The sequence below is a fragment of the Homo sapiens genome, chromosome 15 (genome assembly GCF_000001405.40).
Source record: "Homo sapiens chromosome 15, GRCh38.p14 Primary Assembly".
NCBI lineage: Eukaryota > Metazoa > Chordata > Mammalia > Primates > Hominidae > Homo > Homo sapiens.
In genome coordinates, this window is record NC_000015.10 from 89812510 (window position 1) to 89827269 (window position 14760).

Below are 14760 nucleotides of genomic sequence, written 5' to 3' on the forward strand. Positions count from 1 at the left end.
TTGCCTCTCATCAGCCTCTTCAGCCCAATGCAGGGCACACAGGAGGAAGGAGCAGAGGCATTTGTGGGTGGGGGAAGTACACATAGGGTTTGTGTGGGGCCACAGATCCTGCCTGGCAACTCCTGTCTGCCAAATGGGGGGTGATTATCCTGGTGAGACACATGGTAGGTGAAACTGAGCACCTACTATGTGCCCTACCAGGATAATCACCCCCATTTGGCAAATGAGGACACTGAGGCACAGAAAGGTTAAGTGATTTGCCCAAGGCCACACAGCTAGTTAGCAGCAGGTTCCACAGCTTAACTACATATGCCTCCTAAAAATGTCCTCCCATACAGCCCCTCACATCTACTGTGGCCGTGCCAAGGGGAGTTGAAGACCACAGGAGAAGACACGCACCCATTTGGCCAGACCAGGGCTGGGAGCTGGGGGTAGTTCTCAGAAGTAGAACTTGTTAGCCAGGGAGTGCTGGGGGCTGCTTCCAGACACAGGCCTGTGGAGGACCCACATCTTGCCTCCAAGGTGTGACTGGGACCACTGTAGGGCCAGGAGTGACAGGCACCCGGGGTGAAGCCCGGGCTAGGGATAGATGGCTGCCAGCCTATGTGAATAAGGACACCCCAGGGCCTCGGTGTGCGGCTGACACACTGTCCATGCCATGCCTCCAGGGCTGTCCAGGAGCCCCAGCATAGGGTTCCAGATCTCCCACCAGAGCCAGCCCAGGAACTGGACCCAGTTCCAACACCTTGGCTCCTTCCGACATGGGGACCCCCATCTATGTCCTCAGAATGCCTAGCATACAATTCTTACAGCGATGGGGCTGGAGGCCTTAGCTTAAAGGCTGTAGGGGTGTAAGGAGCGCCAGCGTGTAACGAAGGTCTCATTCCCCAGAAGGCTCTGGGGGAAGCACAGGGCAGGCGGCTGGGCTGCCTCAAGACACTGGGCCGGTTTCCCCACCTGTGAAGCGGGAGCAGCGCTGTGGGTGGCCTCCTTGCACTCATAGTGTGGCCTTCGAGGCTAGGGCTCCACAGGAAGGTGGCTGAGAGTGGATGAGGGCCTCATGGGCCCAGCACACCCTCCCACAGGGAGAGGGGAGTCCACCCTCTTCCCTGCCCAGCTCCCCCATACCCACTGGGGCTAGCCAGCCTTCCTGTGGGACAGAGGCTGTCCCCACTTCCTCCTGGTCACCCCTACCCCACACGCCCACCTCCCCTCCACAAAACACATACCCTGAGGGGCCCTCTGGTCCAAGCCTCCCCTTTCACAGGTGAATTAACTGAGGCCCAGTAAGGCCAGGGCGTTTAGAGACTCAGGGATGAAGCCACATCAGACCTCAGGTCTGGCTGAGACCAGGGCTCTGACCACCCCCGAACACGGCCTGGTGGGTTGCAGTCCAGGGGCTGAGGTGGGGGAGGAGTGGGGATCCAGTCACAAAACCCCAGGACATAGCCCACCTGGGCCGTCCCTGCCCACCGCACTGCTGGGGGGGGGGGGTGCGTTCTGGAGTCATTTGGGGAAAGGATCCCATTGGCCCTGTTTAGGGGACCTTTTCCCAGACCAAGAGTGGATTGCAATGGGGCCCTGGATCTGTCTCAGTTGCTCACCAGGGAGGGCGTGGAATAGGCTCCACAACCCCCAAACCTCGGTCCCCATCCATGCCCCGGCATCTTGGCCGGGTTGTAGGAGCGAGGGAGAACGCGACTGTAACGCGGGCGTTGAGCACCTAGAGTTCCCCTTCCTCTTCACTGAGAGCTGCGGCGGAGGCTTTAGACCGAGGAGCGAGATCTAAGGTTAAAGAAAGGGCCTCTGAGCCCAGTGTTGGCCAGAGACCCCACAGGCGGGCCGGGTTCGCCCTTTGCCTTCGGCCGCGCCCCACCCACCAGGGACAGAGTGGCCGCGGCCGAGCCGGGTCCACCCGCCGCAGCTTAGCTCCGCTCCGCCGCCCTCCCCGTCCGTCCTCCCCAGGCTCCCGTCGCCCTCGCCCACCCTGGGGCCCCCTCCCCAGATGGGAGCCCCTCCGACCCCTGCGAGGCCCGCTGGGGACCCACTTGACCGCGAGATCGTAGTGGGAGCTCGGCCAAAAGAATTCTTCGCTTTCCCTGGCCCTCAGTTTACCCATCTGGGAAGAGGGGCGTCGCGGCCGCAGAAGTCCAGCTCCGCACGCGCCAAGCGCTGGGTCTGCAGCTCCCTCGGTTCCCGCGCACCCAACTGCCCCACGACCCCTACCCGCGCCCGCAGCCCCCGCCCTCCCGCCCCACTTGCCTGGGCCGCCGGGCGCTGGAACCTGGACCCTGGACCCTGGCGGGTTCCGAGCTGCGCCGCCGCCGTCCCTGCCCCTCCAGCACTGGACTCCTCCTTTCCCGTCTTTTTAAAGGGAAGTAACCGGACCCGACCACTACTCCACCCGATTCACCCCTAGCGGGCCGCCCGCCCGCAGCTCCGCCCGGGCTCCTCCCCCGTCCGCCCGCGGCTTCCCGGGAGCCCCCCAGGGCTCCTCCGCTCCTCCGACGGCCCGGCCTTCCCCCCGGGGCCTGGGATGCACCAGGGCTCCTGCTGCCCCCGACGGGGTCCCTGTCGCCGCAGCCCGCGGGACCCGCCGGCCACATCTGGACGGCATCTGCCGCGGGGGAGGGGCTCAGAGCCTCGCCCTGAGTGTCCCGCAGGGAGCCTTGTGCATCCGGGGCAGGAAGCCAGCGCATCCCGTGCAGACGGGTGGTGCAGATAACGGACCCGCCACAGCACGCAATTCAACTTTCTTGGTACCTGGGACTCGTAGTTCAGAAGGCGCAGTAGCACGACCTTGCGAAAAAGCACCGGAGTCGGGAACACGCGCTTCTCATTTTTTTCTTTTTCCTTTATTTGTTTTTGAGACAGAGTCTCGCTCTGTCGCTCACGCTGGAGTGCAGTGGCACTTTCTCCGCTCACTGCAACTTCCTCCTCCTGGGTTCAAGCGATTCTCCTGCCTCAGCCTCCCGAGTAGCTGGGACTACAGGTGCACGCCACCACGCCTGGTTAATTTTTGGAGTTTTAGTAGAGACAGGGTTTCACCATGTAAGGCTCGTCTCGAACTCCTGACCTCAAGTGATCCGCCCGCCTTGGCCTCCCAAAGTGCTGAGATTACAGGAGTGAGCCACCACACCTGGCCTGCGCCTCTCATCTTGATCCTGCTTGCAGAGGTTGTGCAGCCACCGGAGCCCCGCCAGGGTGGGGCTCCCTGTCTCTGAGCAGCTTTAATGGGCGGTACCAGATAATATTTGTATTGGTTCCCTGTGGCTGCCGTAACACAAACATAAAACAACACTAATTTACTATCTTACAAGTTTTGTAAAATCAGAAGTCCAAAATGGGTCTCGCTGGACTAAAAGCAAGGGGGTTGAGGGATACAGCTTTCTTGAGGCTGGAAGGGAACCTGTTTCTTTGGCTTTTCTGGCTTCTAGAAGCTGCCCACATTCCTTGGCTGGTGGCCCCATCCATCTTCAAAGCCAGCAGTGGCCCACCAGTCTCTCACAATCTGTCACTCTGACACCAACTGTTCTGCCTCTTGCTTCCACTGGTGAGCATCTTTGTGATTACATCGGGCCTACCCAGATAATCCAGGGTAATCTTTCTATTTTAAATCAATGGATTGGCAACTTGAATTCCACCTGCAACTGTAATTTCCCTTCGTGGGGTAGCATAACATATTCACAGATTCTGGGCATTAGAACCAGGGCATCTTTTGAGGAGGAGGATATGATTATGTCTACCACAATATTCAAGCTGACTTCCAGACTTTCAGATTTATAATCAAATTTAAGCTCTTCCTTATCCATGATTGGAATCCTTGGGACAGTTAAAGCCTTGCACTGCATGGTCCAAATTGATGGCTTTGTGACTGGCTGTGTTTTATTATTTTACTTGCACTTGCTCTTCTTTTGGAAACTTCATGGAGGACCAGGGTACCTCTAGGTAGCAGCCTTGCTTCTCCTTCCTAATTTGCTCTGTACTCTTAAAAACCAGGTCACAAACATATCGGAATATAGAATTGTGTGTAAAGTAAGAGTAAGTAGGCTGTGAGTGAGACCTCAGAGGCTATTTTGTTTTTTTTCTCTCTCCAGTCTCATGCATGTCTGACTCTCTCCACTATCATATCTGGCATAATCTCCTCCATGTCTGACAAGCCAAGGAAAACACTACATCAGGCCAGGAGAGAATCTTCCCCCCGGAGCTCTGCCTCTCCCACCCAGGCTCCGCGGAGATTTTAAGAGGAGTAAAGATCCTGCTGTGGCAGAAGTGCAACCCAGCTTTCTGGAGGGCAGTTTGGGGTTAGGAATGAAGATCACTTTCAGAAATTTAGCCTGAAGAGGCTGGGCGTGGTGGCTCATGCCTGTAAGGCAGGTGGATCACTTGAGGTCGGGAATTCAAGGCCAGCCTGGGCAACCTGGTGAAACTGTGTCTGTACTAAAACACAAAAATCAGCCAGGTGTGGTGGCGCATGCCTGTGGTCCCACCTACTTGGGAGGCTGAGGCACGAGAATCGCTTGAACCTGGGAGGCAGAGGCTTCAGTGAGCTGAGATCACATGACTGCACTCCAGCCTCGACTACAGAGCAAGACTGTCTCAAAAAAATAAATAAATTTAGCCTAAGGAAATAGAATATTTATATGCAAGGCTTTTCACTGCAGTATTACTTATAATACTGGAAAATCAGAAATAGCCTAAGTGGGCTGGGCGTGGTGGCTCATGCTTGTAATCCCAGCACTTTGGGAGGCCAAGGCAGGCAGATTACGAGGTCAGGAGTTCGAGACCAGCCTGGCCAATGCAGTGAAACCCTGTCTCTACTAAAAATACAAAAATTGGGTGGGCATGGTGGTGGGTGCCTGTAATCCCAGCTACTGGGGAGGTTGAGGCAGGAGAATCGCTTGAACCCGGGAGGTGGAGGTTGCAGTGAGCCGAGATTGCGCCACTACACTCCAGCCTGGGTAACAGAGAGAGACTCTGTCCACCCCCTGTGAAAAAAAAGATGAAGAGACAGTGCTTGCTCCTGCAGAAAGAAAATTCATGGGCTCATAAACATGTAAAAAGATGTTCAATAACTCACTTATTAAGAAAATGAAAATTATAACTACAAAAGATACTATTCTTCACTTACCAGATCAGCAAAGATAAAAAGCAGTTTGGTAGGTCAGGCACAGTGGCTCATGTCTGTAATTCCAGCACTTTGGGAGGCTGAGGCAGGAGAATCACTTAAAACCAGGTGTTCGAGACCAGCCTGGGCCACGTGGCAAAACCCTGTCTCTACCAAAAAAAAAAAATTAGCCAGGCGTGGTGGCACGTGCCTGTAGTCCCAGCTACTTGGAAGAATGAGGTGGGAGGATTGCTTGAGCCTGAAAAGTCAAGGCTGCAGTGAGCCATGATCGTGTCACTGCACTCCAGCCAGAGCGATAGAGTGAGTCCCTGTCTCAAAAAAAAAAAAAAAAGTTTGGTAACACACTATTCGCAAGGGTGGGAGGAAAACAGGCAACCCCCTGCATTGCTGGTTGGTGTGTAGACTGACTCGACCTCAAAAGAGAATATTTGGGCAGTATTTATCAAACATATAAACACATGTCCTGTTTGACTTGGCACTTCCAGAAATTTATCCTACAGATAATGCTCACACGTAAGTGAAAGGAATACACAAGGCTTTCCACTGCATCGCTGCAACATTGAGCCAAAACCACAATGACTTTTGCACCAATCTAATAGCTGGAGACAACCTAAATGTCCACCAATAGAGATGGGATAAATGAATGATTATTGTATGCCCTGCAATGGAATGCATATGGCTATCAAAAATAACTAGGATTCTCCTTACAGAACGCTCCCCAGGACAGGTTGTTTAGTAATAAAACCTAGACGCAGAGCCGTGTTCAAGTCGTTTATCAATTGTACTTAAATGGAAAAAGCACAGAGACACACAATTTGCTTTTATATGTGCACGCGCTGATAACACGAGTTGTTTCCCAGGAAGGAAACTGGAGCTGGAGAACAGGGTGGGAAACGCATTTTTCAGCATATCCTTTTGTTCTCTTGAATCTTGAACCATGTGAATACCGTGTCTAATCAAAATATAAATAAAATTAAAAGTGAAGACGAAAGACCAGAAGATTAACAGGCTTTATAATATAATTTTTTTTTTGAGATGGAATTTTGCTCTTGTTGCCCAGGCTGGAGTGCAATGGCGCAATCTTGGCTCACTGCAACCTCCGCCTCCTGGGTTCAAGCGATTCTCCTCCCTCAGCCTTCCGAGTAGCTGGAATTACAGGCGTGTGCTACCACACCCACCTAATTTTGTATTTTTAGTAGAGACAGGGTTTCTCCATGTTGGTCAGGCTGGTCTCAAACTCCCAACCTCAGGTGATCCACTTGCCTTGGCCTCCCAAAATGTTGGGATTACAGGCGTGAGCCACTGCGCCTGGCTATAATATAAAAATTTGAATGCCAGGTGAGGTGGCTCACATCTGTAATCCCAGCACTTTGGGAGGCCGAGGCAGGGGCATCGATTGAGGCCAAGGCAACATAGCAAGACCCCATCTCTATTTTAAAAACTTTTTTTAACTTGGCTGGGCGCAGTGGCTCATGCCTACAATCCCAGCACTTTGGGAGGCTGAGTCAGGTGGATCACCTGAGGTCAGGAGTCCCGGCCAACACGGTGAAAATCTGTCTCTACTAAAAATACAAAAATTAGCCGGGCATGGTGGCAGGCACCGGTTATCCCAGCCACTCAGGAGGCTGAGGCAGGAGAATCACTTGATCCTAGGAGACAGAGATTACAGTGAGCTGAGATCGCACCATTGCACTCTAGCCTGGGCGACAAGAGCAGAACTCTTTCTCAAAAAAAAAATAAATAAAAATTATAAACTTATATTTGTGGATGAAATGATTTGATGTCTCAGGTTTGCTTTGACCTAATCCAGAAGGGGTGGAGAAGTCAGGAATGCTCAATACAGCATGATTTAAAATAGGGGAAAATCAGAAACAATTAGATGTTCAGTAATGGAGGATTGGTTAAATAAATTATGGGCTTCTATATGAAAAAAGTACTATGCTACCATTCTAAAAACAATAAATCATAGCTGGACGCGGTGGCTCACGTCTGTAATCCCAGCACTTTGGGAGGCCGAGGCAGGTGGATCACCTCAGGTCGGGAGTTCGAGACCAGCCTGACCAACATGGAGAAACCCCATCTCTACTAAAAATACAAAAATACCCGGGCATGGTGGCGCATGCCTGTAATCCCAGCTACTCAGGTGGCTGAGGCAGGAGAATCACTAGAACCCAGGAGGCAGAGGCTGCGGTGAGCCGAGATCGCGCCACTGCACTACAGCCTGGGCAACAAGAGCGAAACTCTGTCTCAAAATAATAATAATAATAATAATAATAATAAATCATATTTTAGAAGTATTGAAAGAGTACTTTCTGTTTTGTTTTGCTAATAATCGTGGAGTGGGAAGACCTTTTTAGGTATATGAAATCCATACTCCACAAATGAAAAGACCGCTACAGTTGACTACATAAAGGTAAAAATCTCTGCATTGCACAACCACCACAAGCAAAGTCAAAAAGAACCCTCCATAACAGGGGAAAATTAGCTATATGTTGCTAACTGTTGACTCTCAGAGATGGGTATATTGAGGGTTCATTATTACTGTTATTTTTTAGTGTGTTTTCAAATTTCCATAACAAAAGGAAAACTTAAATATATACAAACTTCTGTATGGCAAAAGCCAAATATTACACTGGACAATAATATTTGCAACACATATAAACAACAACAGATTAATATCAATAATGTCCTAAAAAGGTCCTACAAGGTGTTTGTAAAAGACATAAAAACAGGCCAGGCGCAGTGGCTCACGCCTGTAATCCCAGCACTTTGGGAGGCTGAGGCGGGAGGATCACGAGGTCAGGTGATCAACACCATCCTGGCTAACATGGTGAAACCCCGTCTCTACTAAAAAAAAAATAATAATAATACAAAAAATTAGCCGGGCGTGGTGGTGGTAGCCTGTTACTCCCAGCTACTTCGGAGGCTGAGACAGGAGAATGGCGTGAACCCAGGAGGCGGCGCTTACAGTGAGCCGAGATCATGCCACTGCATTCCAGCCTGGGCAACAGAGTGAGACTCCGTCTCAAAATAAATAAATAAACAAACAAACAAACATTAGGGCAGAATAGGACTTGGGAAAATAAAATAAAATAAAAACAACACAACTGAAAACCGGGCAAAGGATTAGATCTGAAACTTCACAGAGGAGGAAATTTTAAAAGCCAACTAACAGGTGAAAAGATGTTTAACCTTAGTCATACTCAGGAAACACAATTTCAAAACAATGAGATGTCAGTTTTCACTTATGATGTTGGCCAAGGTCTAGACCAACGGATAACATCTAGAGTCGGCCAGGGTGTGGGGAACTGGGATCCCCCCACAGTCCTGGGGCACATGGGAATCGCTATGAATAAAATGGCAAGCCCTATTCACAATTTAACCACAGCTACCCTTTCATCCAGTGATCCTGTTTTGGGGAATTTATCCTAAACCCAGGGAGTAACGAAACTACTGCTTAAACCATTCATGCAGGAGGAGGCTTATTAGAGCATTCCTTGTTCGAGAAGAAAAATAAGCCAAAATGTCTGTAGAGCACCCTTTAAACAAGTGAATAAAGGTCCACAGGAAACAGTGTACACAGTCACAGAGCGTGTGTGCTAACTCTGTATGTATCACCTTGGAATGATGTCTGTTCGTACATTTTTAAGTTCAAAAGCAAGTTCCAAGCAATGCATTTCATCTCACCCTCTATTACAACAGCCCCAGGGATTGTCCCCATTTTATAGAGGAAGCTGATGGCTCAGGCGTGAGTAACCACCCCAGGCCAGTGCCCAGCTTGTGTCAGACCTTCCGAGGAAGCCACATCTGTCTGACCCAGCAAAGCTGCAGGGTCCTCTCTCTGGGTGCGTCATTCGGGTGTATTGTCATGAGTGCTGGGATGAAATGGAAATGAACTTGCCAAATTATTAACCCACTCTGCCTCAGTGAGGTTGACTTGAGCCAGGGGTGGGCTGGGGGAGGGAGACAGGGGAGAGACTATCCATTTTTTCCTTATATGCTTGTTTATTCTTTGAATTGTTAGAACAAACGTGAGATTTTCATAGCAACCACCCACCACTACAAAACCATTAAAATACTGCTTAAAGGGTGAGGTGCAGTGGCTCATACCTGCAATTCCAGCACTTTAGGAGGCAGAGGAGGTTGGATTGCTTGAGGCCGGGAGTTCAAGACCAGCCTGGCCAACATGGCAAAACCCTGTCTCTACTAAAAATACAAAAATCAGCCGGGCGTGGTGACATGCACCTGTAATTCCTGCTTTTTGGGAGGCTGAGGCGCAAGAGTTGCTTGAACACAAGAGGCAGAAGTTGTAGTGAGCTGAGATCGTGCCATTGCACTCCAGCCCAGGCGACAGAGTAATACTCTGTCTCAAAAAAAAAAAAAAAAAAAAAAGAGAGAAAAGAAAAGGTGGAAGTGGGAGGGGCAGGCAGGACTCAGAATGATGCCTCCCTGCTCATCCTGCGTGGCATCCCTTGCTGCCACCTCCATCTCAGTAACTCAGCCCCACGTGGTGCTCGGAAGAGCCCTTGGGAGAGGGTGCGTGATCTCAGGGCGTGGCAGCTTAGTGGGGGACTTTCCCCAAAGACTCCTTCTCTAGGCTGGAGTCCCTTGGTGAGGACGGGAGCAGCTGTTTCTAAACCTCCCTCTCCCCACAAGCTTAAGCAGCACAGGCTGCCTGCAGGCACTTTGGTCAGCTGTGTGTATGCGTGGCTCCCGTGCACCGAGGATGACTGGTCTACCTGGGCAACAACAGCAGGGATAATAAGCTCCGTGGGCGCAGGGTTCCTGCCTGCGCTGTTTTCCACTGTATGCAGCACTTAGCACAGGACTTGGCACATATAGGGCGAACTAAAGAACCAAAGCAGGGCATGATGGTGTGCATCTGTCATTCCAGTTTCTCAGGAGGCTGAGGTGGGAGGATCGCTGGAGCCCAGGCCTTCGAGGTCAGCCTGGATAGAATGGTGAGATGACAGAAACCCCCACACTGTGACGAGGGAGGGCAGGAGAAGGTGAGTGTCCATGGGGCACTGTTGAGGAATGAGGTGCATTGTCAGATGGACAGGTGGAGGGAGGGTGTCCGTAGCAGAGGGACCAACATTTCCAAAAGCAGGGGGTCCGGTGCATGGCGAGGGGGAGGCTGGAGTGCTCAGGGACAGTGGAGCCCTGAATGCCGAGCTAGGGAATTGAGCTCTATTCCTGGGAATCCTGAATCCCTGATGAAGTTGGAGAAAAGGACACTGATGGAATTAGGTTTGCCTTTTAGAGAGAGCCCCTGGGGACAGTTTGGGGACCAGATTGGAAGGGTGCCAGGTAGGAGGCAGGAAGAGCAGTTGGTGGCGGGTGGGGGGGTGGGGTGCCCTCCAGAGACAGAAGGAGAGCAGTTCAGGGATATTCCAGAGGTGGCTTCAGGAGGCCTGGTGACCAGCAGTGGGGGAGGGAGTCAGGGGAATGGGGCACCAGGGCTGCTGCTGGGGCTGGGGAGGGCAGTGCTAGAGTCAGTACTTCCTGGCACTGAGATTTTTTTTTTCAATTTCTTATTGCTGTTGTTTTCAAGAACTCAGTTTGGATTTTATTATAAAATTGATTAAAAACACATTTTTTGGAAAAAAAAAAAAGACAAAGAGTAGCTTTTACAATGAACTTCTTTGGGAACTTTCTCAGGAAGTGGGAAAGGGCCTGTTGTTGTCCAGGCTGTGGAAGGGATGGAAAGGACCTAGAGCCCACAGAGGTCCCTGAGGTGGCAGCAGGGCAGGGCAGAGTGGGGTGGGGGGAGGAATGGACCAGGCAGGTGGGGACGCCAAGTCCCGCATGGCACCCCTCGGCGGGCTCCCTCCCCAGTGCCCCCTGGATGCCACACCTAAGCACGGATGTGGTTCCCCCAGGAGTCCCCCAGGGCAGGGCAGGGCAGGGACCCTGCAGAGGAATGCTGGGTAGGAGGCAGCTTTGTGGTCAGACAGACTTGGCTTCCTCAGAAGGTCTGACACAAGCTGGGCACTGGCCTGGGGTGGTTACTCACGCCTGAGCCATCAGCTTCCTCTGTAAAATGGGGACAATCCCTGGGGCTGTTGTAAGAATTAAATGAGAAAAATCCTGTACAGCATTTAGCAATGCCCAGCCCTTAAGAAGCCCTTGGAGAGGAGCCCCCCAGGGATTGTCTTAGTGGGTCTTTGACCAGGTGGTGTGGCTCACACCTCCAAGCTGTCCCCTCTACAGAGGGGGTTGGGTGGGGGTGGGAGAGGAGACCTCATGCCTTCCGATCTGTCCTGGGCATGAGGTCTCCTCTTCTCCATCACGGATGTCCCACCCACTCCCACGGGTTCACCATCTCCCTGGACACCATCCTCCATTTTCACCCATGGCCTAAGACGTCCTGCCCAGCCCCCTCCACAGAACCAGCTCCTTGTAGTCATCTGAACCGGGCATCCTGGGGGCTCTCAAATATACCTCCAAACCTGACCCTGCCATCCTGCCCCTACACCTTGGCCAAGGGTGCCACGCCCATCAGGCTCTTTGCCTCCCTGTCCCCTATCCAATAGGCCTCAATTCTGCTCAATTCTGCAGCCACTGCCCTGTGCTCTGCCTTAGGGGAGGACGCGGCAGCCGCTCACTGGCCACTCCAGCCTCCTAGGTGGTCCCCCTGCCCTCACCACAACCTCTGCTCCACTGGCAGCCGGACTGACCTTTTGGAGATGTCACTGTCTCCCTCTCTCTCCCCTAAATTGTTGAAAATCCTTCAGGACTCCACCAATGCCAAGGTCAAACTCCATGCAAAGCATCACGCTGCCTCCTCTCCCACCATCAATGCATCAGCCTTTCCCTGGACCTGCAGCAGCCCCCTTGCCTCTCTCCCCTGGGAGGGGGACTGGCGGCAGGCTCCCCCGCATGGAGTCTGCTCCCTCCTGAGTGTGCCCGGCACCGGCATAAGGCAGACTGCCAGTAAAAGAGGGCTGAGGACGGGCTGGTGGTGCTCGGGGGTTCTGTCACCTGAGCGGTCCCTCAGGTGGCTGCATTCCTGGAATTTCTCTTCTTCTGAGCCCTCAGGAGGCCGTAGCGGTTCCACCCACCCAACTTGGCCCATATTGCTCCAGGGCACCTGGAGAAAGGACCCCGACTGTCTTGGGAAGAGGCCCACCTGCATCTGGCCTCCCTAGCCCTCAGATCTGCATGAAACGTGGCTCCCACTACTGGCTGCCTACAGGGGAAGCGGGGCCACAGGCTGAGTGGTCACTGAAATTCACTCCAGGCTTCTGGGGGCTGGGGCCTGCACACAGCTGGAGGTTTCAGGGAAGGGTTAGGCCAGATCCCCAGTCCGACACTTGTACCTTTGAAGGGGGCAGAGCGTGGCAGTTAAGGATCAGGCTTCATATCTTGGCTGTGACACTTATTAGCTGAGTGGCCCTGGGTAAGTCACTTCTCTGTGCCTCAGTTTCCCCACCAGCAGATGGTAACGATGCTTTGCCTCTCAGGGTGGTAGTGAGCAGTGAGCAAATGCATGAGAAACGTGCCGGGCAGCAGGGCTCGGTGCATCCTGGCCATCTTATACCATCATTCCAGGCAGTTCCGGGCCTCGTAGCCTCTGACTCCATGCGTCCTCCTTCAGCCACAGTCCCAGGCCTCCTGCTCCCCATGGGGGTGGCCCAAGACCCTAGGGCTCAATGATGTAATGACAAAAGTGTTTAGCAACCGGCAGAGAGTGGGCGCAGGGTGCAGGGCGTTGGCCCTGACTTTAGCATTTACCAGTTTCCATGGTGTAAATAAATAACCCTGCCCTGTCCAATTTCAAGCTGCTGTGGATGTGGAGTTGGGAACAGATGCCCAGTGGCACACCAGGGTATGATGTCTCCACCGCACAGATACAAGAGGCGTGGATAACCCCAAAAGCAGAAATGATAGTCAAACATGTTAACATAATCAGGAAGTGGTAAGTGTTGCATATTACCTTTGCTCTTTTGACATACTTTGTGAGCATATGCAATTTAATTTTTAATGATGGCTATGCTTGACAACTGACCCATGACATTACTGAAATGTGGACAGCTGGCTCTCCCAAGCAAGTCCAAGTTGGCCCCAGCCCCCTGCGGTGCTGTTCTGTGCCGTCTCGCCCAGGGCACCAGGACCTGCTCTGAAAACTCTGTGGGGCCTGGCTTCAGCCCACCTTGTTTTCATCCCACGTGTCACTCTTTGGAACACCATGTTTAAGCAGGGGCCATCTCTGGGTTTCTTTGTGTAGCCCGTGTTCAATCCTAAGGACCCTCACTCCTGGCCCCTTGTCTGCTAGTCACCTTCCACCCAAGGTTAAAAAGCACAGGGTTTCTAGCCAGGTGTGGTGGCGTGCGCCTATAGTCCCAGCTACTCAGGAAGCTGAGGCAGGAGAATTGCTTGAACCCAGGAGGCAGAGGTTGCAGTGAGCCAAGATCATGCCACTGCACCCCAGCCTGGGTGACAGAGCGAGACTCTGTCTCAAAAAAAAAAAAAAAGCACACAGCGTTTGGATTCAGGCACACCTGGCTCCCATTCTGGACCTGACCTTTCACAGCTGTGTGACCATCAGCAAGTAAGTTAATCCCAAAGAGCCTCATTTGTCTCATCTGTATGATAGGGATAATTCACTGACAGGTCACCTCAAAAAAGTTTCCTTGAGTCTCTTGGTCGTCCCTCCCTCCCACCCGTCTCCCCAACTCCATTCCCAGGCAGCCACTCATCTGCTTTCTGTCACTATAGATTGGTTTGCATTTTGTAGAATTTTTTTTTTTTGAGACAGAGTCTTGCTCTGTTGCCCAGGCTGGAGTGCAGTGGCACGATCTCAGCTCACCGCAACCTCCACCTCCCAGGTTCAAGCGATTCTCCTGCCTCAGCCTCCCAAGTAGCTGGGATTACAGGCATGTGCCACCACGCCCGGCTAATTTTTTTTTTTTTTTTGTATTTTTAGTAGAGACGGGGTTTCACCATGTTGGTTAGGCTGGTCTTGAACTCCTGACCTCGTGATCTGCCCACCTTGGCCTCCCAAAGTGCTGGGATTACAGGTGTGAGCCACCATGCCAGGTGGACTTTTGGTTTTGTCTGCAGCCTGGCTAGTTTCAGTCTAGGCTTTCCGCCTTCCCTTTGAGCCTGTGAGAGCTTCCCCACAGCCCTTCAGCGAGTGCCTTTCTGGGTTGGTTCTCTTTGCACTGGGAATCCTGACTGGTGCAAGGGAGCCGCTGTGTTCCCATTTCCCAGCTGAGGAAACACAACAGAGAGAGGTTAGGTGTGTTGCCCAAGGTCACACAGTTGGAAGTGGCAGAGGCAGGATCAAACCAAGTTCACGTCTCCTTCAGGGCTTTAGGACTATGTATCATAGTAAAATGCCCTCTCACACACCATTCTGACCACCTGGAAGTGGGCAGATAAGGGACTGGCTCAGGGTCACACAGTGAGACAGGAAGCTGGGCCTGTGCCCCCACCACACAGTGCCTCCTGCCCTCAAGGCTGAGTAGAGCGTGGAGCTTCACGCATGTTGAGAGGGAAATGGAAGGAGTTGAATGCATTCATTGATTTGTTGAGCAATCTCGTACTTACTGACAGCTGAATATGGGTCAGGCACTGTCCCAGGCACCAGCAAGGCAGCAGCAAAACAACAGTGAAAAAGAGAGTCG

At 52.3% G+C, this 14760-nt stretch overlaps 1 protein-coding gene and 1 long non-coding RNA gene across 3 annotated transcripts in view, besides 16 other annotated features; both read right to left on the bottom strand.

Annotated features, from left to right (window-relative positions):
• ANPEP (alanyl aminopeptidase, membrane) overlaps positions 1–2343 on the bottom strand; it is a 29958-nt gene extending 27615 nt beyond the window's left edge. For both annotated transcript variants that reach the window (NM_001150.3, NM_001381923.1), the window contains exon 1: positions 2263–2343. The gene's annotated coding sequence lies outside the window, so the exon portion shown is untranslated. The remainder of the gene's footprint in view (positions 1–2262) is intronic.
• Positions 1912–2411: an enhancer, noted in NCBI's record as "H3K27ac-H3K4me1 hESC enhancer chr15:90357653-90358152 (GRCh37/hg19 assembly coordinates)". NCBI's record gives its function as "activates a minimal SCP1, AML or CMV promoter by ChIP-STARR-seq in primed H9 embryonic stem cells {active_cell/tissue: H9 hESC(primed)}" and the evidence as "EXISTENCE:reporter gene assay evidence [ECO:0000049][PMID:30033119]".
• Positions 1912–3433: a biological region, named in NCBI's record as "ANPEP distal promoter". NCBI's record gives its function as "regulatory_interactions: ANPEP".
• Positions 2279–2767: a promoter, noted in NCBI's record as "-411 to +65 fragment used in the -411luc reporter construct". NCBI's record gives its function as "drives ANPEP expression in transfected KG1a myeloblastic, U937 myelomonocitic, Jurkat T lymphoblastic, HL-60 myeloid and NIH3T3 fibroblastic cells {active_cell/tissue: KG1a | U937 | Jurkat | HL-60 | NIH3T3}" and the evidence as "EXISTENCE:reporter gene assay evidence [ECO:0000049][PMID:7721782, PMID:10477683, PMID:9786929, PMID:9566892]".
• Positions 2279–3433: a promoter, noted in NCBI's record as "1.15 kb XbaI/HaeII fragment used in reporter constructs". NCBI's record gives its function as "drives ANPEP expression in transfected NIH3T3 fibroblastic, KG1a myeloblastic, U937 myelomonocitic, 293T embryonic kidney, 1F6 melanoma and Jurkat T lymphoblastic cells {active_cell/tissue: NIH3T3 | KG1a | U937 | HEK293T | 1F6 | Jurkat}" and the evidence as "EXISTENCE:reporter gene assay evidence [ECO:0000049][PMID:1675638, PMID:7721782, PMID:15138629, PMID:12917399, PMID:16685268, PMID:11029758]".
• Positions 2382–2387: a transcriptional cis regulatory region, noted in NCBI's record as "bases mutated in the pMyo/mut construct". NCBI's record gives its function as "positively regulates the 1.15 kb ANPEP distal promoter in transfected Jurkat T lymphocytic cells {active_cell/tissue: Jurkat}" and the evidence as "EXISTENCE:site-directed mutagenesis evidence [ECO:0005528][PMID:11029758]".
• Positions 2639–2767: a transcriptional cis regulatory region, noted in NCBI's record as "-411 to -291 region present in the -411luc construct but absent in the -291luc construct". NCBI's record gives its function as "positively regulates the -411 to +65 ANPEP distal promoter in transfected KG1a myeloblastic cells {active_cell/tissue: KG1a}" and the evidence as "EXISTENCE:reporter gene assay evidence [ECO:0000049][PMID:7721782, PMID:9566892]".
• Positions 2639–2767: a protein binding site, noted in NCBI's record as "Ets-1 binding probe". NCBI's record gives its function as "binds Ets-1 in COS-7 cells {active_cell/tissue: COS-7}" and the evidence as "EXISTENCE:protein binding evidence [ECO:0000024][PMID:7721782]".
• Positions 2666–2685: a protein binding site, noted in NCBI's record as "Ets C probe". NCBI's record gives its function as "binds DMP1 in KG1a myeloblastic cells {active_cell/tissue: KG1a}" and the evidence as "EXISTENCE:protein binding evidence [ECO:0000024][PMID:9786929]".
• Positions 2675–2678: a transcriptional cis regulatory region, noted in NCBI's record as "bases mutated in the -411 Luc Ets C Mut construct". NCBI's record gives its function as "positively regulates DMP1 transactivation of the -411 to +65 ANPEP distal promoter in transfected NIH3T3 fibroblasts {active_cell/tissue: NIH3T3}" and the evidence as "EXISTENCE:site-directed mutagenesis evidence [ECO:0005528][PMID:9786929]".
• Positions 2677–2706: a transcriptional cis regulatory region, noted in NCBI's record as "-330 to -360 region deleted in the Etsdel construct". NCBI's record gives its function as "positively regulates the -411 to +65 ANPEP distal promoter in transfected KG1a myeloblastic cells {active_cell/tissue: KG1a}" and the evidence as "EXISTENCE:reporter gene assay evidence [ECO:0000049][PMID:9566892]".
• Positions 2717–2734: a protein binding site, noted in NCBI's record as "CD13 myb probe". NCBI's record gives its function as "binds Myb in COS-7 cells {active_cell/tissue: COS-7}" and the evidence as "EXISTENCE:protein binding evidence [ECO:0000024][PMID:7721782, PMID:10477683]".
• Positions 2724–2726: a transcriptional cis regulatory region, noted in NCBI's record as "bases mutated in the Mybmut construct". NCBI's record gives its function as "positively regulates the -411 to +65 ANPEP distal promoter in transfected KG1a myeloblastic, U937 myelomonocitic and Jurkat lymphoblastic T cells, important for cooperative Myb and Ets effects in C33A epithelial cells, and necessary for inhibitory Myb/Maf complex formation in immature myeloblastic cells {active_cell/tissue: KG1a | U937 | Jurkat | C33A | immature myeloblast}" and the evidence as "EXISTENCE:site-directed mutagenesis evidence [ECO:0005528][PMID:7721782, PMID:9566892]".
• Positions 9267–9767: an enhancer, noted in NCBI's record as "H3K4me1 hESC enhancer chr15:90365008-90365508 (GRCh37/hg19 assembly coordinates)". NCBI's record gives its function as "activates a minimal SCP1, AML or CMV promoter by ChIP-STARR-seq in naive H9 embryonic stem cells {active_cell/tissue: H9 hESC(naive)}" and the evidence as "EXISTENCE:reporter gene assay evidence [ECO:0000049][PMID:30033119]".
• Positions 9768–10268: an enhancer, noted in NCBI's record as "H3K4me1 hESC enhancer chr15:90365509-90366009 (GRCh37/hg19 assembly coordinates)". NCBI's record gives its function as "activates a minimal SCP1, AML or CMV promoter by ChIP-STARR-seq in naive H9 embryonic stem cells {active_cell/tissue: H9 hESC(naive)}" and the evidence as "EXISTENCE:reporter gene assay evidence [ECO:0000049][PMID:30033119]".
• Positions 10675–12945, bottom strand: LOC124903551 (uncharacterized). Its single transcript, XR_007064753.1, has 2 exons — positions 12451–12945; positions 10675–11190 (listed from the first exon to the last, which is right to left on the bottom strand). It is a non-coding gene; the product is annotated as an uncharacterized LOC124903551 (long non-coding RNA).
• Positions 12186–12859: an enhancer, noted in NCBI's record as "H3K4me1 hESC enhancer chr15:90367927-90368600 (GRCh37/hg19 assembly coordinates)". NCBI's record gives its function as "activates a minimal SCP1, AML or CMV promoter by ChIP-STARR-seq in naive H9 embryonic stem cells {active_cell/tissue: H9 hESC(naive)}" and the evidence as "EXISTENCE:reporter gene assay evidence [ECO:0000049][PMID:30033119]".
• Positions 12909–12958: an enhancer, noted in NCBI's record as "active region_10056". NCBI's record gives its function as "activates an Ori minimal core promoter by ATAC-STARR-seq in GM12878 lymphoblastoid cells {active_cell/tissue: GM12878}" and the evidence as "EXISTENCE:reporter gene assay evidence [ECO:0000049][PMID:35858748]".